Raw genomic sequence first — 21959 nt, 5'->3', positions numbered from 1 at the left:
TTCTGAACAGGTAAAGGAAAAAAATATCTGGCAATAATTGATTCAAGATCGATTAATCAACAGGTAGTTAGACAATTAGGCAGTTAGATCATCTTTATTGGAACAAACTATTGTTGTCCCTTACTTTTCAACCAGCAAGCAACTCAGCTATTACAGTAATAATACAAATGTAGATGTTTGTTACTGTTTAGTCTTGTCTTCACAGTAGTTTGGCAATTCTGTAAGTACCTAGGTGGGAAGGAAAGCACAGCTGTTCAGCCTAGTTTGTATTTTAACCAGCAAAGCACATTAAAAACATTTGTAAGATTTGTGTTTTGTGGGTGCTTCTCTTTTATTTTTGTAGCCCTGCCACATGAGAGGAAAGAGAGTTTTTTTCCCTTAGTGGCAGCTTCGTGATATGTTACCAGGGAGCTGATTTGGTTTACTAGTTGTAGAGAAACACAAAACTATGTAGACTTCTCCATGGAATATTCATAAAGGTTGAAATAACTGGCAATGAGGTATGTGGAGTTTCTATGAAGATTGTAAAAATACATAGTATTATAAAAAATAATTTTAAGGCCAAGTGTGGTGGCTCACACCTATAATCCCAATAATTTGGGAGACCAAGGTGGGAGGATGGCTTGGGCCCAGGAGTGTAAGAGCAGCATTGGCAATATAGTGAGACCTCACCTCTACAAAACATCAAAAAAATAAAAATTAGCCAAGCATGGTGGCCTGCACCTATAGTGCTTGCTACTCGTGAGGGTGCAAGGATCCCTTGAGCCCAGGAGTTCAAAATTACAGTGAGCTGTGATTGCGTCACTCTACTCCAGCCTGTGTGACGGCGCTGGATACTATCTCAAAAATTAATTGATTAATTTAAAACTAGAGCTTTGTGTGCAAGGTATTATATTGTTTATATTAATAATAACAAATAGGAAGTAACCTCTCTGAAACAGAAAATCTTTAAATAAATATATGTCAAGAACTATATTAAGTGCTTTTCATATAGTCATTTAATTTCTAAAATAAATGTATAGGCCAGGTGCAATGACTAATGCCTGTAACCCCAGCACTTTGGAAGGCTGAAATGGAAGAATCACTTGAATTTAGGGTTTGGGATCAGATCAGCCTGGGCAATGAAGTTTTTATGGAGACCTTGTCTCTATAAAAAAATTTAAAAATTAGCTGGGTGTGGTGGCGCCTGCCTGTGATCCCAGCTACTCTGAAGGCTGAGGCAGGAGAATCACTTAAACCCAGGAGGTCAAGGCTGAGACAAACTCTGATCACACCACTGCACTCCAGCCTAGGTGACAGAGCTAGACCTTCTCTCAAAATAAAATATAGACTAAATATAGTCAGCCCTTCATGATGAGGAAATCAATTCATAGAGGTTATCACTTTACCAAGGCCATATCACTGGTGGCTGACTCAGCTGTTCATGCTTTTTCCCCTAAATCACTCAGAAGATGACATTACTAAAAAGATTGGAGGCTATGAAGTGACTTCACCAGTAGCAACATGAAAATATTCCAGTGATAAGTGAAAAAGATGGATACCACATTCTGTACATCTTGATGCTGGTATAACTTTGTACTTGAGTAAAATGATCACAGTAACATATAAAGATTTAGCGTTTGTATTAGGCTGATGGAATTTTGTGTGTTTGTTTTGTAAAACGTCTGTCATTGTGTAAGATGTCTATAATTGTGCATAAGTTACTTCCCAATTAAGTATTATTTAAAGAGTGCATGCAGCATCAATTTAGTTCATCAATCAGTGTATCTAAAAAAATTTAATGTTTTTGGTGTGCGTCCTGAAAGACTGCATGGTCATTTGAGCTTGTATTCTTTTTTTTTTTTTTCTAATTTTAGATCATCAAATTGTTGGATGGAAAACGATCTCAAACTGTGGGAATCTTGATATCTAGTTTACATTTAGAAATGAAGGATATCCAACAGGGTAAGTCTTTTCTATCACTTTTGTTTTACTTTTTCCATTTTTTAAAAAACATTTCATTCTGAAGAATGTCAAACACATACAAAGTTAGAATGCCCTAATGAATCCTATATACCCAATACTCAGCTACAGAACCATCAACTCACTCTTGTTTTATCTGAAAATGCCCCCCTCTCACCAAGTAGGTTATGAAGCAAATTTCAGATGCTTTATAAGTCATCTGTTAAAAATGTTAGTACTATTGCTAAAAAATAAGGATACTTTATTTATTTATTTGTTTTACAGGTGGGGTTTTGCCATGTTGCCCAGGCTGGTCTCAAACTCCTGGGCTCATGCAATCTGCCCACCTTGGCCTCCCAAAGTACTGAGATTACAGGCATGAGCCACTGCGCCCGGCCCAGGGGTACTTTTCCAAACAATACTCCACCCAGTGCCATTATCCTTCCTTCAAAGACATTAATCGTAGTTACTCAGTATCATCACATAAGTGGTTCTAATGTCCCTGTTGTTTGTATACTCATTAATTCATCCATTCATTTATAGTTAGTTTAAATGAGGATCCAGACAAATTCCATGCATTGCCTTTGACGTGTCTCTCAAGTTTATTTTAATCTAGAAGTTTCTACCCTCCATTTTTTCCCCTTTTGTAATTTACTTGTTGAAGAAACCAGGTCACTTGTCTTGTAGACTTCCCCACATTTTAGGTTTTGCTGATGATGCTGCTATGTTTTTATTTATCATGTTCCCCTGTCCCCTGTTTTCTATAAACTGTCTGATCTAGAGACTTAATCTGAGTGGAAGAATACATCATAGATGCTATTATGTTTTCTATCAAGAAGTGCATAATATTTAGTTATCTGTGATGTTAGTGAGCACTTATTATCTTTGCCTGGATTTATTATTTCAATAGAAGTTTTCAAAATAATGATGTACTAATTCCATCATTTCTTCTTTATTAGCTGGAATACTTCTAGGGAGGAATACTTTCCTTCATTTGGTTACGTCATTGTTTCTTCATCCTTTCGTTTTCAAAATGTTGTTATTTCTATTTGGTTATCTTTGGCTCAATTTTAGATAAAAGACATTTAAAGAGAAGAGATTTTGTGTGCACATATTTTTTATTAGTATCTAGAAAAGTAGACCAGAACACATGATACCTTTTCAAAATCTGTGTCTCGCATGAAAACAATACTCCCCTTTCTCACTAATTAATTAAATGTAAATCTTTGGGGGTTTTTTTGGTTTTTGGTTTGGTTTGTTTTGAGACGGAGTTTTGCTCTTATTGCCCAGGCTGGAGTGCAGTGGCGTGATCTCGGCTCACCGCAACCTCTGCCTCCCGGATTCAAGTGATTCTCCTGCCTCAGCCTCCCAAGTACCTGGGATTACAGGCATACGCCATAACATACAGCTAATTTTTTAAGTAGAGATGGGGCTTCTCCATGTTGGTCAGACTGGTCTCGAACTCCTGACCTCAGATCATCCACCCGCCTTGGCCTCCCAAAGTGCTGGGATTACAGGCGTGAGCCACTATGCCCAGCAAATGTAAATCTTTATATTGACATTTCACTTATATTTGCTGAGTGATAATACAATCTCTTAGATGGTTTCAGTAGAATTTAGTATGAGTTTCACAGTGGAAACATCTGACACCACACGGCCCTTTAGGTTTCAGTTCATGTTGTTTAGTTGTTTGACTTTGCTACTCAGCAGAATACCCATAGGTCCTGACCTACAAGACACTTAAGTTACTTTCACATCACCTGCTACTTTTCCATTCAAGGGAGCATTGTTAGGGACTTAAAATTTCGCTACATTACAAAAATTAAAAATTCCACAAAAAACTAAAACATCTTAAATGATAATCACAGAGCATTCAGATAAGCTGTATCGTATTTAAGCTCATTAACAGAGCTGAATACATAAGTGTGAATATGAAACCTCAGATACAGTGAGTTTGGCAGAGGGTGGCTAAATAGGCCTGTCATTGAAATTAGAATGGGATTCTTCAGGGACTTTAGAAGAATCTCAAGTTAGATCTTCCAGAAGAATTGAGTTTCTGAAAAATTCACATCAGAAGAATGTGATGTTAGAGCAGAGGGAAAAAAAGAAAAACAAAAACAAATGTTTTCAGGGGAGTTTATAGTCTTTTGGTAAAGGACTGACTGTTTTGAAGCAGTTATTGAAGTTAGGGATTCTTCAGGTATCACAGAACGGTCTTGACAGTGGTCTCCATGAGCCTGGTGAAACTCAAGTGTGCTTGATTTCATCACCATGATGTGTAACGCTGTGGATGTGAGTTTTCACAATGTCCATATAACCTTAGACTATATTCCGTTTGTTTTAAGCATGTCCTACTGCAGTGCGTCAGATTTCCCCATGGATAGAAGTCATTCCAGCCATGTGATAGTCCAGTTACCAGCTCAGGACTGTAAACTTTCCCATGGCATTCTAGCCTTATTAGATTGAATGTTTACTGTGAGTTTGAAAAGATATTTGTCGATCCAGACCTTTTCCAATGTTATACTCTAGATAAGAACATGCTTCTGTGAAGCGTACGTGAACTTTCATTTCAGCGTCCGAATGTTGACTGTAGCATCACAGACTTCTAGTCCTTGTGGGAACTTTATTGTTCGTTTTCCTTCCTCAAGCACCTCTGTGATCCACCACAAAGTTGGCTCCTAAGTTCTAAAAAATCATCTCCATTCCATTTCTTCGTTTAGTAATGCATTCCAGATGAATATGGCGCTATAACTGGAGGTTAGTTTTCCTTTGGAGTCATTGACTGACACTGGCATCTGAAGGTCATTAGGAGCCCAGGCTGTATCAGTTATATTTCATTCTGAATTTGTGTGTGGAATGTACTTGGCCTTGTGTTGTCACCCTGGTGAAAGGACTCCCTGTGCTGATGTTGGCCTAAAAAGTTTATTTTAATGTGAGAGGGGCTATGGTTAGATATGACTGGAGGAGGCCAGCTGGCCGCCTGGCAAGATCTCACAGCCGACCAGCCCTGGTGAAATGACAATTCAGAGGGTGTTCTTCAGCCCTGTGGTCGTATATTCACCTTTAGCCATGCACAAAGCCCAGAGGGATTAACTCATACTTTCCAAACTCACAAGAAGCTGATGTATAAACCAGCAAGCCAGTATATTCACTTAGAGGAGAGTATTCCTTCTTACAACAACAACAAAAAAAATTGTCACATTTATTGATTGTTTTCTCCACATCATTTGCCTCTACCTGCCATTTTCCCCATTAAAATGTCATTTCCATCACTCTGTTTCGGCATATGCATAATAAGCACACGGTAAATATCTTTTTGAATGCAAAGAAACAGGCATAAACAGGTTTAGAGACAAAATACAGTACGTGATTCTTGGAAAACTCTACCATTAAGTTGATAGGAATAGAAGTACTTACAGGCCTTCTGGATAGCTTCAGGCATTCCAATTTTCCAAATGGCAATGACATTTCAATTTTTCTGAGATTGCAGCTTTGTCACCTTGATAACAGTTTTGTGTGTTTCAGTCTGCAATTGTCTCCCACAAATAGATCATGTGGCTTTTACTGGTTTGGCTGTTGAAGAGCAATCTTCTCTTCTTCTTTTGTAAGAGGAGCACTTCTCTGTGCTCTCCTTAACACAGCCTACACTCTCCATTCAGGAAGAGTTTTGCTTCTCTATACCTTAACATCTGACAGGTAACAAGGAGCAGGGCTAGTGTTCATTCCTTTATGCATTTCTTTGCCAGGAATTTCTATGGTGATTAAGCATTGTTTGCAAATAACTGGGCTAATGTGTCATGCATAAAAGTCATATATTCAAGTGTTCGTTGAATTTAATTCAATTTTTAAAAAATACAGACTTAATCTTAAACTAGATAGGATCAGAATGCCATGTATTCTATTCCAGTGCACTTGGACAAAACTGCCTGCTTGCCTGCCTTCTTTCCTTCCATAAAACTGTATAGAGTGCCAGCTCCGCATCAGGTGTCATGACTACAACAGCACATAAGATCAGGCTCTAACATCCTCAGGCACACCCAGGATGGTGGGAGAGATGTAAAGCAGCCCAACATTATAGTAGAATTGGCTATGAAATAACAGAGCAGTATCTTGACTCTTCCTGTAAAAGTTAAGATTAAGTCTGAGAGGATGAAATAGTGGTCATCACACAGAGATGGAGCTTTTCCAATTGAGGAAAGAGCATGAAACAAAACGTGAAAAACAGACATGTAATCCCTGACTTCGGGAGGCCAAGGCAGGTGGATTGCTTGAGCCCAGGAGTTCGAGACCAACCTGGCCAACATGGCGAAACCCCATCTCTACAAAAAACACAAAAATTAGCCAGGCATGGTGGTGGCACAAACTTGTAATCCCAGCTACTTGGGAGGCTGAGGTGGGAGAATTGCTTGAGCGTAGGAGGTGGAGGTTGCCGAGATCACGCCACTGTACTCCAGCCTGGGCAACAGAGCAAGACTCTTATCTCGAAAAAAAAAAAAAGAAAAAAAAGACACAGCTGGAGTATATAGATTGTATATATGAATGTGGGTTGTTTTAAGGTAGAAGGCAAGAAACACAAGCAGCATCCAGACCAGGAAGATCATGAATAGCATCACAAGAAATGTTTATATTATTGCATCAGTAATGGGGACAAGAAATCTAAGAAGGGCCATGTTGTGATCTGATTTTGAATGCAGCAATATCTATCACACTGTTCATGGAAGACTGGCCTCTAATGTTTTCCATGCTTGGCCAAAACATAGATCTCTTATTTCACTTTGTCCCACCTGCATCTCATCTCACTGCACTCTAGCCAACTACAGTGGTCTTTGATTTCTTACAGAGGCCAAGTACTTTTCTTACTCTTTGTCATTGCATGCACAACACATTTTGAATGAACAGTTCTGCACGCTCCCTCTGTTTGAAACGCTTTTCCACCCCACTCTCTATGTAGCTAGGTGTTTTTCTTTAGGTTTCAGCTTAAATGTCACCTCCTAGGAGAGCCTGCCTAGGTCCTCCCACCCTAATACAGGTCATCCTAATTTAATACTCTTATTTCCTTCACAGCAACTAATATTTTATTTGTTCATCTACTTATGTTTTTATTTACATCTACCACGAGAATATAAGCTCTGAGAAGGAGACTGCTCACTGATGTATCCCCAGCACCTTGCACCTGTGTCTGGCACCCAGGTGATGATCATGAAGTGCCTGTTGAATGAATAAAGAAAAATAGGACTGAAGGTGGAGAAATCCTTTAGAAGGGATTGTGTTTGTTCAGATGATAAATGACAAAGGTCAGAACTGAAGCTATGTCTATAGAAATGTAGAGAAGAGACCACGTATGAGGGATATTTGGAGAGAGAATTGCTACGGTTGCTCACATCAGATGCAAGGAGTAATACAGAAGACTTTTGGCTGTACCTTGGGTTTCTGGCTTCAGCAGGAATGTGTATAATGGTGCCCCAAGCCAGAAACTGAAAACACAGGTGCAGACGCAGGGCTTGAAGCATAAAGGTAAATTCTGTTTTGGATGATTTGAGTGTGAGATGAGTGGAAACATCTCAGCTAAAGTGTTCGGTGAGCATCTAAAAATCTACCTTTGTGCTAGTGGTAAGCGGATAGGGCTAGGTTAGACATAACATACTCCCAAAAGTAACCTTTATCCCTTTATTTCTACCCAAGATAGTGTTTGATGTCTTGTAAAAGAAAGCCAAATCCATATGCTGGCTGAAGTGAAAACACTGAATCACTAAAGGAAAAGCCTTGGTTGTAGAGGAAGAATGGTTTCAGGAGGGTGACCATAATACCAAAAGCACTTGCATTTGGTCCAGGAGAGACTCTGAATAAGTAATCTACTTACTGCTGGTTTTCCATCTGCTAGATAGGATGACTTATATTTAAAAGCATTTGGCATCCTTGGTCACAGTGACTGCCTACATGATTGCAAATTAGTGTTTTCATTCCATGTTAGTGAGTTCCTCTTATTCTTGTCCCAGGGGAGATAGAAAATTGCTGTTGACTATTCTTGATATAAACGTTCATATGCATTGCAACAGACTAGATGCCAGAAACCTCCTGGCATTCATTTGGAATTTCCCATACACGCAGAATTAATATTTATAATATTTAAATAACATCAAGATAAAACATCCTTTATTTAGTTCTTACTAGTTCAGAACGTCAGTTTGAGAGATCAGCTGCAACATTGGCTTTCTTTCTGTTTGGGAATCTCAGTTCAAAGTGTACAAAAGGGATGTCAGCTATGTGCTCAGAGTCTAAAACCCAGGTCTGAGAATGCCCGCTGGACCTTGTTTCCTTTTGCCTTAATAATTGCCAGAAATCTTTGTCAAAGTTTATGCAAGTTGTCTAAAACGTAATGAATTTGACCAGGCATCTGAAATCCAACATAACTTATCTAGGACTTTCCTGAGGAACAATCTCAGTCTAGCCTAGAAGAGTGTCTACTCAAAAGGCTTTTGGTCTTCAGAATTTTTTTATCGTGCACCCCAACAGTAAAAAGTTTGAGTGCATGTTTCTCAAGGTCTATTTTCTAAAATATAAGTGTAGGACATAACTAATATGCATGTTATAAAATATATGCAAAAAATATGAATTAAAATAAGATTAGTAATATTTTTAAATGTCTTGCTAATTTTGATGGCTTTGGGTTCTTATGAGCCTGATATCTCAAGGCTCAATATGCGATTACAATGAGTCTCATTATTAACAGTAATGAAGTTAAACCCACATTTTAAGTAGCCTTAGTGATAAATTCTGTTTATGGGGATCAACTTCTTGGCGGGTGCCATTTGGCTATCCTTGTTTTTACCCACTTCCATAACTGATGAAGAGTTTGTACTAGCAACCAAAGTGTCTGCTCTACCATTTTCCTATTGTTGATGGATTATCTTAAATCTGGGGTTTCACTGCAGGAGGCTTTTGAAGCCAACTTGTTTATTTTGTGAAGTTTAGTTAAAACCAGATTTTAGAATAAGAAAACTTCATTTAATACCCCCCCCATCACAATATGTTGAAAGCAAAGGAACAAGTGAGCATGCCACGTCTGAAAGAGTTTATCCACCAAAAGTGCCATGTGACCCTGACCTGCTGACATACAGACTAAATAAATGGGCAGTTTCAATTAACTTATTAAATATAGGTAGAGCTAAATTTTTTAAAATGTTAGATAAATATAAGTAGTCACTCTAATATTTTCCTTTCCTTTTCCACCTTTTCCTCCTTCCTGCTGTGTCTAAAACACCTAAGCAGCGGGGCTCCCACCTACCCTTTCTAAACCATTCTGCATTCCTTCACTCGCAGAGCTGAGTCCAGAAAGCAGAGGGTGGCATTTCTTTGTACTTTACCTTCAGGCAACTGGCTGAGACCATCCAATCTGCCTGGAATGTAATTTTGGCTTAAAAGAACCAGAACTAATGGACGAACAGAAGCAGCTTAACCCAAACTGTTTCTCATTCCACTGCCCTCTGGAGAATAGAGGGGATATAGAAGGGGAAGTTTTGTGAATTCTATGCCCTGTGCCCTTCTTTGAGGTTTGAACCATGGACAATCTTAATTGCGCCTGTAAAAGGAGACCTTGGGCAACTTGAGGCATAGTACATGCCTGGACTTAGGAGACAATTTGGATTTTTGCTTTATGAGATTGAGTGATTTTGAAGTTTTGTAATAGATTAGATAAGTATCCCTTTTGCGATTGTCCATTTCTTCCACCACCCAGGCAGCTCCTGTTCACTGTGTGTTTTATACTTGTCTCTTACTCCATCAGAGCCCAGGTTAACATGACACAATAGCAGGCATTTAGCAATTTAGATAAGATTATAAACTATACTATAGTCTCTTGATTTTTTTTTTATCTGTTTGGATGCAACTTTTGTTTGTGTTTCTTCGTGTGCTGTGTGCCTTAGTTTTCCTTGTTAGTCAGTTTTGGCATGCAGTGTAAAATTACAATTATTGTTATATACTCAAGAAAATTAGACTTTATGTTACTAGAGATTTTATTTTCTTCTTATTTAAGGTAAGGTATTTTCAAGTTCCAGGTTTCTTTTTTTTTTAAAGAAATTCTGTCTGCTGTGCCTTAGCTGCAATATTGATTATTTTTGAAGAACTGCAAATAGTTTGTAACAAAGATTAAAGCTTAATCATTTCATTGCATATGTTGCAATAGCGTATTAGAAGTGAACCATGTATTAGCATGAATTAAATAATGGTGGAACTATGAATGTATATACTAAATAAATGAAATTTTCATAACATGGGCTGTATGTGCTTCCCACTCTGGGATTGCTGATCAATGTAAAAAGCATATGATGCCATTTAGAGACCCTGGTTTCTTTGTAGCCTTTTGTGGGTAGTTTGTTCTTAATTGGTTAATTCATTGAAACTTTTTTTAGATGGTAAGGATTTTAAGTGGAATGATTATTTATAGCCTGACATCTATGAAAATGAAGTACAATCTTTGTCCAGTAAATTACCACTGCCTTGGAGGATAGTTGGGGTGGTTGTCGAATTGAGCTTGGGAAACCAAGCAGTGTGACTTTGTGCCTTAGTTTCATCATCTGTAAAACTAGAAACAACAAACGCACCCGCCTCATATGATTAAATACAAAACACTTAGAACAATGCCTGGTACAGAGGAAGCTGCCAATAAATTCTATCAGTTATTAAGTATTAATCCCCAATAAAGTCTGCCTGCTGTCCTCACCCTGTGGTGGAGTGGACAGAGATTCTTTTAAGCTGCTACTTAATTGGTGCCCTTAAGCGTCTCATTTGGATACTTGCATAGAGTGAGGATTTGTGCATATCTGGGTTTGCACAGGTAGGCCTGGTGCTTATTGGAGGTGGAACCTAGTGTCCAGTAGGAGAAACACAAGGTATAGGTTGTAGGAGAACTATGACCATTTTGAAGAGGCTTGTTACAGAGCTCTTCAGCGGGAGCAGATCTGTACGGTCCCCTGGCCTTGCCTCCGAGTGGTCCTTCCACGCTCCACACCCCTCTCTACTGGCTCCCCTTCTTTCCACTTCTTGCAGTTTTTTTCATAGACTTGGTGTTTGCTCTCAAGGATGACCTCATTGTTGGGAGGGAAAACTGTGGGAAGATGTTTCTGCCTTCCCTTTCCTCAACTCTCAGATTGTACTACTGCCTCTTCCCATGAACCCCATGTTATCGTTGCCTTTGTAGAGGTCACGGAGTAGGTTTGTCAGAGTTTTGTGGGATATAGGTGACATGAGAGTTTCAAAAAACCAAGTCCTTCTATATTTCTTTCCCTGCTCTGTTCTCTTTCTCTTACTGATTGAATTTCTGTCGAGTTCTGAAAAATACCAGTATTTTGGGCAAAGCAGCTAAGTTTTATTTTGGCTGTTGCAGAGTTAACATTGTAAACAAAATAATTTCTGCTAATAGAGTCAAGTAATCCTATCAAACTTTGCTTTCCTGGGCTGGACCAGACTATATCTAGTCCATTTGCAAAACATTATTACATACCCGCTTTGTGCAAGAGGCTTACATCAGTCACTTAAGGAAATAAAAAGAAGAATAAAACAGGCTACGTACAAATCATTCTCAAAACCACCGTCAGCCGAAACCTGGTGAGCCAACCCAACCCTACCTACCTGTGGCATCTCCCACACTTCGGATGACCAGATTTACTTTGGCTAATCTTAACAGACTATACAAGGTATGCCTTTCTCACCACCGTGTCCCATGCTTCTTGCTCAGAGGTGCTCCCTCAGTCAAAGAGAACAACTCCCTTAAATAACTCTGCCTGTCTTTTTACTCATTAGAAGCCCTTCGAACAGCAAGTGCATTCTTTGTTTATATGGGCATGGTACACTTGGAGAGAGAAGTGTTCAGGGTTGAAAAATGGCTGGAGAGCTGAGAGAATCCTGCATGTTCTTTCTACTTAACCCTGGTCTTGTGAAAAGCCATCTCTTACCCGGAGGGGGAATTTTCCCTGTTGTATGAGACCCTGACCCCTTGCATGTGCCCTAAAGCAGGCACATAGTTTTTATGTGTGCCTGTTAGTTTGAATTTGTGATACTGATCTGCTTTTTGTCCCTGCTGACGGTTATTATATCTTAATGGGCGAAACACTACTCTAATGATCCTTGTGTATATAATTCTTGTGGTACAGAGCAGGCACCAGAGGACCACATAAAAATGTTTGCCTCAATTTCCCTGCAAAAAAGAAGCCCAGAAACCAGACTTGACCAAGTAACAGATTTTTAAAGGTAAAGGAATCTAATAAAATTACCAGCTTTTCACAGCGTGTGTCTACTTCCTTTTGACATATTGTGAGGTGTAGGTGAAATATTCTAACCGAACTGACAGTGTGAGTGGGACAACTAAGGAGGGAAGGAGATAAAAGTAAAAACCACCAGCAGTGATTGATATTGCAGTAGCAATGAGCTGTTGGGGTCTCCCCTTTGTGGACTTGACACTTCACCTTTCTGACACCATCTGCAGGAGTGTTAGTATAATGAGACCTATACAGATGGAAACAAAAGTAGGATTACTTGGAATTACTGTATCAGAGCTTTGAGGCTTGCTGTAAAATTGCATAGGCTTGTATTTGTTGGTTCAGTTTATGAGCGGTGTGCCTGTGTGCACACACATGCGTGGAAGAGACAGAGACAGAAAGTGAGTGTTTTCAAAGTATAAAATGGAGGGAGCGATCTGATCTTGGGTGACGCCGAAAATAGTTTAGTTGAAGACTGACTTCTTTCCACATTGTGATCATTATGATTACAAATTAGTTAACTAATTAATTGGGCTTATGTAATGGCTAATAAGTTTAATGGTAAGTGCTTGCAAGAATGACTTAATCGGAGAGCATTCATTGATTCTCTAATACGTTGTTCCAGTATTTTGAGAATAGAATTATCAGGTGTGGATTCTGGCTCTCTAGGAACCTAAACTATATTTGGTGACTAAGACATGGGATTATGTACATGTAAGGCAGTTCTCTTAGGCATCCTAGGACTTGGTAGGCCTTTTTATTTTTCAGACTTCTGGCTGATACCCTAACCTTCCCAGGCCAATATTATTAGAAATAATACAACTAATTTAATCTCCATAAGTTCTAGGCTCAGTATCAATCTCTTGATATTGCTTCTGCTACCTCTGAATTTTCTTTTACTTTTTAGATTTTATTTTTAAGATCCTTCCGTGGAAGAGGAGAAACTTCAGTGGAATACTTGGCATTGGCCCTAAGTTCATCTGTTTATCTACTTCTTTTACCTGTCCTTTCCTCTCTACTCCATTCCTTTCCCAGTCCCTGGGGGACAGATCAGTAGTCATGCTCACCTCTTAGACTCCTCTGCCTGTTTCTGGGGGGATGGTACAAAGCTCTTCCCCTAAACCTAGGCTCAAAGCCTCAGAGTGGTTTCAGGCTAAGTCCCCAGAGCTAGTTAGCAATGTCACTATAATAGTGCTCTGTAGTGTCTTTCTTTTTTGCCCTATCCTTTCTGTCCACACTATTCAAGTTTTTGCTACCTCTTGCCCATTACAATAGATTCTAAATTAGTCTTTTCAAATTTTGACTTTTTGTGTGTGTAATATAATTTTGTCCAATTTACTCCTCCATTCATAACTGCTCAACAGCTCTCTCCTGTATAACAAGTGTATTACAGGTTCATCGTGGCATTCAAAATTCTACAAGGTTTTACCCCAAACTATGTTTGGAGTGTATCTTTCTAGTCCCTTTAATTAAGTCTCTCTTCAAACCAAAATTGAACTACCTGCCATTGCCTAAACATTTTGTGAGCCTATTATCTGCTGCTTCTAGCTGGAATGTTTTGTATCCTTCCAGTTTACGTTCACTGGCACGTATTGCATACTTACAAATTGTCATTGCATGGATGAATTTAGCTTAATTATTGGTGATTAATAGATTAGTGTTTTCAGTGTCTGCCTAAAGCAATATAATAGTTGAACTTTTACTCAACATTTTTCCTAAGGAGATACAGCTATTTAAAACTTTTTTGAATAAGGAAAGATATTTTCCTTATTCATTCCCTAATAATGAGAAAACTCATCTTTGAAGTTAATTATTTTTGTTAGGGAGTATTCAGGCAAGCGGTATAATCTACACCGAGTGTGTGAGTTGGGGGCACAATTATGTAACTGCTGGCCAAACCTTGATTTTTGGACAGGGTCAAATTGGGAAGAAGCAAACAACCATGATTCAGATACATGCCTTATAAGGCTGTGCCCCTTTAGAGGCTCTCTGGTTTCTTTTTAAGACCCTATGTTCTCTTTGTCAAGAAGCTTTTCCTCCCATCAGCAGGACTCAGTCTTCAGGAGTCGTATGGTATAATTATACCCACAAACATCTATGTTATACATGCTACACCCCTGGTACCATGCTGGGAGACAGTTATCAAGATGCTTAAGAAATCAACTGCTGACTGCAAGGCTTTCACAGTCTACTGGGAGAAGGAAACAGTTATGCAACATACCACAGATTCTTAAAGTATACCATCTTCACCTTATGTAAAATATGAGAGAGGTACCATGGCAGAGGAAAAGATTGAGGACTTAATGATGTGAGGGTCAAAGGATGTCCTTCCAGGGCTTTGACCTCTGTGCCATGGAGAGATGAAGAAAGGGAGGAAGCCATGGCATGTTCAGGAATGGGGAAGGACACAGGGTGACTGGAACCCATGGTGCATGGAGAACATGGTAGGAGATGAGTTTGGAAGTGTAATTGAGGCGAGGCAGGGAATGAGCTTAACAACCAGGCCAAGGAGTTTAGACTTCGCCGAGTGTTTAAAGGAAGATATTGGAGGTATGTTAAGCATCACAGTAAAATTTTGAAATCCATGTTTTTAAAAAGTAACCTTGGTACAATGAAGGATGGATTGATGAGAAATATTGAAATTATAGATAAAAATATGATAATACAGACTTGGAGGTACCTGGCATTTCCCTTAAGACACTTGATCCATTATTTTTTGTAATTAGAGTTCTGTGTCATAGACCTTTCCTGTTAATAATGCTTTCTGAAGTTGGGTCTTGAGTGGGGTTTTAAAGGACTGGAAGGGTTTCCTAGTAACCGCGATCAGAAACACCTAAGAATTCGGGAAGGTTGCATTTACAGCACAAATCACTCAGTAGTTGTAGTTTTCTTTCTCTAACTCTTTCCAGATGTTAAAGGGGATAAGGCATTAACAAGCATTAAAACACATTTACAATGTATATATTTGAAATCATGATAGTAATAGCTCATATATACCATTTTGGGCTTATACCATGTTCTACGTGCTATGCTAAGCATATATCTTACCTCACTTAATATTTTCACTAAGTGGTATTAGAGCTGTTTTATAGATATGCTGAAGCTCAGAAAATTTAACATGTCAGGATCACACAATGAGTAAATTTTGCTCTGTCCATGATAGTCACCTTGATTTTTTTTTTTCTATACCTTGAATGTGTTCCTTCAGAAAAAGAAACTTGTCTTTGCAGTTACCTCTCCCTGGGACGTTATTCTCCAAGATAGCCACAAAACTGATCTCTGCAGGTCTTCTCTTAAATGTCACCTCCCAAAGAAGCCTTCCTTGAGCCTTCTGTCTAATGTTGTACATTTCTCTGTTTTACTTTCTTCATAGTAAATTGTTATCTGAAATTATGTATTTACTTGTTTATTTTCTGTCCCCAGACTGGGATATAAATTTCATGAGATTAATTAAGTACTTTGCACTTCTAACTTAAAAATCCACAGTATTTAGAACAGATCCTGTACACATCCAACAAATACTTATTCAAGGGCTGGATGGAGGAATGAATGAATCCATGTCTTCAGAGCCCATGGTTGTTCTCAGTCCCAACCTCTCTGGGTGTTATTTTTCTGCTACTGAACACACTGGAAGGGGCACAGCTGACAATACCATCTGAGGAACTGTGTGCCTGGGCCCCAGACTGATTAACTTTTAAAAACTGAGTATTTACTTACTAGGAAAAGAAACTCACAGGTCATTCTCTTTCTCATTAGTTAAGATTATTTGATTATATCTAAGCTTGTAATATATAGTTACCCAGGATGCATGATTAGTTAACATGTAAACATTTTTGGTAGATTATTGTTTAGAATTTGACCTTTTCTTATGCGCTCATGTTGGTTGATTTTTGTGAGAGAATACTGAGATTTACATAAAATAGACATTGTTTCTGGCTATTTTGGTTTTCAACGCACTAGACATTTAAAAATGCCTGTTGTGTCTGACAAATTAGTGGATTTATGTGATCTCCACACACAAAATAACAGTCTTGAGAGGACAAATCCTTTCTTTCTGTCCTTAAACTGCATTTTTCTTTACTGGTTTCACATTGGCCTTTGTGGATGTGTGATGTTCCTTTGTCTTGGTGGAATCTGAGGTGACTTACTTTGACTCTAGCATATTAACCTCCTCTTTTCTCTCTGTTCCATGTATCTAGGAATAGCTTGCTGATTAACCCCTAAGTTTGAGAAGGTGGCCTGCAAAGGAATTTTAAGTACATTTCTTGCTGTTCTGTGAGGTTCCATGATCTTAGCTCAGTTAATTTTAGCTTTGTTAAAATTGTATGAAAGGGTTCATGTGATTCTAAACCACAGAAGAAGCAAAATACCTCAAAAACAACCTGCCCCTTACCTTGGTCCCCACCTTCCCAAAAACCATGGTGTAATGCAAATGAACAGAATAAATAGTTGACGAGCAAAATTTTAAGGCATTCTAAGTATCACTGGTTGGTTTAATAAAATTAATTAGCCTGCCACGGAGAAAATTTACTAGCGTGCTGGTTAATTTCACAATGTAAAGTCAGGGAAGGGAGGTAGGGTTGAGGGAACAAACCTTATTAGTTTTGAATAATTATTTAAAGATGTGGACCTGCTTATTTCAAACACTTCGATAGCCAAATCCATTAAGGATTTTAAGTCTCAATTTTTGCATCCCAGTATCTATGGGAAGGTACCTCTCTAGATGAAATCATAAGCATATTAGTTAACGGCTAAATTAATCTTAAATAATACAGAACAAGTAGAATCCTAATAAAGCCATGGGAATGAGAGCCTGCCTGAAGACTGGCTCATGGGAGGTTTCCATAATCTTAATTTGCTATTGATGCAATTATTGTTTTTTCTTGTCTTTTTAATCCAAACAAGATGTTGGCAGTGGCCACGGAAAGGTGCCTGAAATCACATGCCTGAATTCATTTAATTTGCCAACATTGTCTTTTTTCTCTCTTTCTTTCTGGTAATGGGCAAGAGTCAGTTCTGGTGCATTAGGTACTAAATCTCTTCAATTACCATCGGGAAGAAAGATTTAAAATTGTGCTTCAAACCTACAAACTGATTTAGTTTTAAAGCACAAACACTTCTCCTGTGGAGCCTAAATTAAACTGCAGAAAGGACTCAGAGCCTGAGGAATTAAACAAGGCAGAGCCAAGGCTCAGGCCAATGATAGGAACCATTTTGGTTTCTTTCATTTGAGACCCCTGGTGCGAAAGGAAGGGGAGCAGAGAGGCACAGCTTGTGTAAGAAAACGCAATACTCTGTTAATTGCTTGGAAGCTGGATGTGGAGTAAACATTGGTGCAGGGGACCTAATCAAATCCCTTATCCTCTTTTCTTTTTGGGTGCTTGGCAGCCATTTTCAATGTGGATGACTCCGTGGTTGATCTGGAGACCCTGGCAGCCTTATATGAAAACGTGAGTGTCAAAGACTTACAGAGCTAGTATTTCCATATTTATCTTCTACCTGAGAAATGACTGAGCTGTTCATGTTCTTTGGTAGTAAGGGTTTTGACGTGGCCTGGAAGAGATTAAGGCATAGAAACACAAGCTTGAATGGGAGTGGATGTGAGAAGCACTAGATTCCTGACTCCCACTGTGGTATCTGGGCTAGCAGATCTCATTGCACACTTGCAAGGCAGGGCATCTCAGGTGGACACCATTTACGTGCCCTGGAACCCAGTCCTGTCACTTGCTGGCCAAGTGAATGAAGGTAAGCTGCCTACTGAAATGATAGCGTGCACTGGTGTCTACTTCTGAAGAATGGGACTGCTAATACCAGCTTGGATGATTACTCTTAGTCCAAATGAGTTGATGATATTGAATGTGGGAAGGTGTGTAGAATGGTAGGTATGTGTTTTGGATTTAGAATGAGACAGTCTTAGGTTTGAGGTCCAGCTGTGTCTACCATTGCCTGCTAAGTGACCTTGGGCTAGTTACTTAAACTTCTTAATCCCGTTGTGATCATCAGTATAGCGGGGATTATAGTAGGCTCTGATTTTTTTTTTTTAGTCAAATGAGGATTTAATATATGTAGCAGTAGCAATGTATTTTGAAAGTCAACAGGACTGTACACATATAAGGTTTTTGATTTGGGTTTTAAGTGGACATAACCAGCAGAATTGTCAGGCTCTCTTGAGAAGACAACACAGGAGAGTCAGAATTCCCATGATTGTTCATTGTTTTGGTTCACTGACTGTTAGGCTACAAAAACATAGATTGAACCACATTCTCTTAAGTAATGGTATTTCCCAGGAAGCTGTCTAGGGCTCTATAGTGTACTGTGGTCACCAGTTCAAAAGATGATTCGTTTCATATTTATGTCCCCTGGGACCTTAAGTTTCTTACAGAAGATTTCCATAGTCTAATAGTCTAGGCTTGGTGGCATCACCAATTCCTTGCTCATTTTCACATCTTTATATGTATCAGGAGCTACTTAGTACAAGTGGGTCGGAACTTCTCACGTTTCCACTAGTAAAGCTTTCGTTAATAAACCAGAAAGTACACAAATACCAGGCCATTGGGAGCTAATTATGCACTTGAATACTTGGAGGTCAGCAAGGTATAGAGGCAGAAAGAGGGAGTTCCAAGTCTGAAGCTCTTTAACAGTTGCTTAGTACAAGCCTCAGTGGAATAATCTGTAAAATGAGGATACAGTGGTTCATGTTAAAGAACTTTGTCAAAGGCAGTACCTTCCAGATGCTTTGTGTTGTTACCATGAGCTCAGGACTAAGCACATGGTTGCCGCTTGTTAGCTCACAGTAGAGATAAGCTTCATTCAACTGAAATAGTTGGATAAATTGAGAAAGTAAGTGACTCAATGCCAAAATAAGTGGTACAGACAATGAGTGCTTACGAAATTTGGAAAAAGGGACGTTGTTGACTAGAAATGAAAGAGCTGCGAGTTCATATAATTTAGGGCTGTTCTAAGAGTAAGGAAACAAATTCTAAGAACAATATTCCCCCAGCCTCCTTACAGAGGAAGAGATGGGGGATTCAAAAGTAGAGCTCAAATAGCTGTACTTCTGTGTCCAGCTGCGTGTACTTGTTAGGTCCATTTGCATTGAATCTCAAACTTGAGCATGCATCAGAATCACCCAGTGGGCTTGCATCCCCCCACCCCCACCCACACCCCAAGTTCTTGTGTCTAGGGTGGGCCAATAATTTGCATTTCTGACAAGTGACAGGTGATGTTGTTGATGCTGCTAGTCTAGGAACCACACTTCGAGACTTTGAGACCCACTGCCATAGCCAGAGTCTCACTTCCCTTTTTTTTTTTTTTTTTTTTGGTTTTGTTTTCTATTTTGATACAGAGAGCCCAAGAGGATGAGCTGGTTAAAATAAGAAAGTATTACGAGACATCCAAAGAAGAAGAACTGAAGCTGCTGGATAAACCTGAGCAGTAAGGATACTTAACATTTTTCTGTTAGGCCAAAAGGAGAACTGCAATTTCTGTCTTCTTGTCTCCCAGCTCAGAATAACCAAATCTAAATGTGCAGCCAGCTAAATCACAACACCGTCATTCCTGTGACCTGTTGCATGCAGCAGGATGACCCTGCTGCCGGGAAAAGCAGCGCTGAGATTTGTGCTGTTGGATACAGTGTGTCTCACCCCCCTCCCCCACCCCAAGAGACTCCCCTTTCTTTTTCTAGCAACTTGTTAATTCCTCCTAGACTAAACAATTTGACCAAAAGGGTAACTGAGGAAGGAAGAAGGCATTGTTCTGTTTAAGGTTCTCTTGATGAAGTTAAAAAGATGATATCAGAGTCACAGAATTCAAGTTTATTTTCCTAAAGGTCATATCCAGTAAGTGCAGCCTGAATGTGCTAGCTTTTCCCCAAACTTCTCCACCTGCTCTGCCCAAATGTGGCTTTTTCTCACCCTCACTCTGTACATGCTTGTTTTTCTCTCCAGTCACTATCTATGGCTGCTTGCTCTGTTGTTTGTGATGCCGTTCCATAGGCTTTGAAGACCCAGAACTCCGGGGTGTAACTGAGTGACTCTTGGGGTCTCGAAGCCATAGATAAGCTCCCGGGGCTCTGCAGCCCCACGACCCTGCCCAGCTTTCCAGGGCTTAGGACTCTGTGAGACTGTAAAATGGGTTCAGAGGACCTGTGTCCTCTGACACAGGTTCAGAGGGCCTCTTTTGCCTGTTGCTACCTTGAATTTTTTTTGTCCAGTTCAGGCCAACCCTCTCAATCTAGAGATGAGGCAAGTGTAGAAAATGAAGCAGAAATGGAGCTATCAGATCAGGGTTACCAGTCAGCCCTAGAAACTTCCAAGGTTCTCCGGCTTGCACTGGAGTTCCATGCCTTGTCCCTTGGGTCCTCTAGAAACGGGTCCCCAACCCCTGGGCCACAGACTGGTACCAGCCCATGGCCTGTTAGGAACCAGGCCACACAGCAGGAGGTGAGTGAGAGACAAGCCGGCATTACCACCTGAGCTCCGCCTCCTGTCAGATCAGCAGCAGCATCAGATTCTCATAGGAGCACAAACCCTATTGTGAACTGCGCATGTGAGCGATCCAGGTTGCACGCTCCTTATGAGAATCTAATGATTATCTGTCACTGTCTCCCATCACCCCCAGATGGGACCATCTAGTTGCAGGAAGCTAGAGGGACCATCAGGGCTCCCACTAATCCTAGATTATGGTGAGTTGTATAATTATATCATTGTATGTTACAATGTAATAATAATGGAAATAAAGTGCACAATAAATGTAATGTGCTTGAATCATCTTGAAACCATCCCACCTCCAACCCCAACCCCTGGCCTGTGGAAAAATTGTCTTCCTCGAAACCGGTCCCTGTGCTAAAAAGGTTGGGCACAGCTGCTCTAGAATACCTCAGTCCCCATGGATGCCTGGACATTTAGACTCAGGAAAACATCTTAAATGGCTGAGGATGGGAGTTGGGAAGAGAATTCTGGGTTTACTCAGTTGACGACAAACCTACATGATGGTTCTGGGAACCTTGGATGACTTGCTCTCACATGGAGCATGGTCCAGGATCCCCCCTCAAAGTAGGTTTCTAAAGCCTAGGAATATTGTGAATCAAGTCAAGTGAGGTTCCCTTGCTGTCTTGTTCCACTGACTTGAGACACCTTCCTTACCAATCCCTACCCTCAACTGATCCTATAGTTTATTTCCAAGTCATATTTCCTATTATAACAAATGAATCCCTCTTACGGTGCTAATGACTGAAAGTAAAGTGATTAATAATGGGCTGTTTCAACACTGAAAAGGCCATTTGGTTGTATTGGGGCACAGTGGGCATATCAAAGCACTTGGGTAGTGCTGGTTATACCAAGTTACACAGTAATATTCTCCTCTAAGCCTGGAGTTGGCAAACCTTTCCTGTAAAGGACTAGATAGTAAGTCTTTTAGGCTTTGTGGCTTACGGGATGTTACAAATATTCAAGTCAGCCATTGCTGTGCCAAAGCAACCACAGGCAGTATATAAACAAATGGGTATCGCTGTGCCCCAATGACATTTTACTTATGAACACTGAAATTTGAATTTCATGTCATTTTTACATGTCATAAAATGTTGTCCTTCTGTTGACTCTTTTTTCAACAATTTAGAAACGTAAACATCGTTCTTTTAATTCATGGGCCATACAAAAACAAGTGGTGGCCTGGTTTTGGCCTGTGGGCTGCAATTTGCCAACCCCTTAACCACCGAGCAGCCCTTGTTCTAAGCTATGGGAATGGCTGATCCGGTGAAATGAACAG

The 21959-nt window shown here is 39.7% G+C and overlaps 1 protein-coding gene and 1 long non-coding RNA gene across 17 annotated transcripts in view, besides 1 other annotated feature; one reads left to right on the top strand and one right to left on the bottom strand.

Annotated features, from left to right (window-relative positions):
* FMN1 (formin 1) overlaps positions 1-21959 on the top strand; it is a 429171-nt gene that overhangs the window by 266597 nt on the left and 140615 nt on the right. For all 16 annotated transcript variants that reach the window (XM_011521509.4, NM_001277313.2, XM_011521504.4 and 13 more), the window contains 3 exons: positions 1857-1944; positions 17583-17644; positions 19540-19628. In XM_011521509.4, coding sequence (XP_011519811.1) covers positions 1857-1944; positions 17583-17644; positions 19540-19628 — 239 coding nt within the window. The remainder of the gene's footprint in view (positions 1-1856; positions 1945-17582; positions 17645-19539; positions 19629-21959) is intronic.
* On the bottom strand, positions 79-5494 carry LOC124903460 (uncharacterized). Its single transcript, XR_007064575.1, has 2 exons — positions 5359-5494; positions 79-228 (listed from the first exon to the last, which is right to left on the bottom strand). It is a non-coding gene; the product is annotated as an uncharacterized LOC124903460 (long non-coding RNA).
* Positions 8994-9562: an enhancer, noted in NCBI's record as "NANOG hESC enhancer chr15:33210757-33211325 (GRCh37/hg19 assembly coordinates)". NCBI's record gives its function as "activates a minimal SCP1, AML or CMV promoter by ChIP-STARR-seq in naive H9 embryonic stem cells {active_cell/tissue: H9 hESC(naive)}" and the evidence as "EXISTENCE:reporter gene assay evidence [ECO:0000049][PMID:30033119]".

Source organism: Homo sapiens, chromosome 15 (genome assembly GCF_000001405.40).
Source record: "Homo sapiens chromosome 15, GRCh38.p14 Primary Assembly".
Classification (NCBI taxonomy): domain Eukaryota; kingdom Metazoa; phylum Chordata; class Mammalia; order Primates; family Hominidae; genus Homo; species Homo sapiens.
The sequence above is the reverse complement of the archived record's forward strand: the minus strand, read 5'-3'. Positions and strand labels throughout refer to the sequence as shown.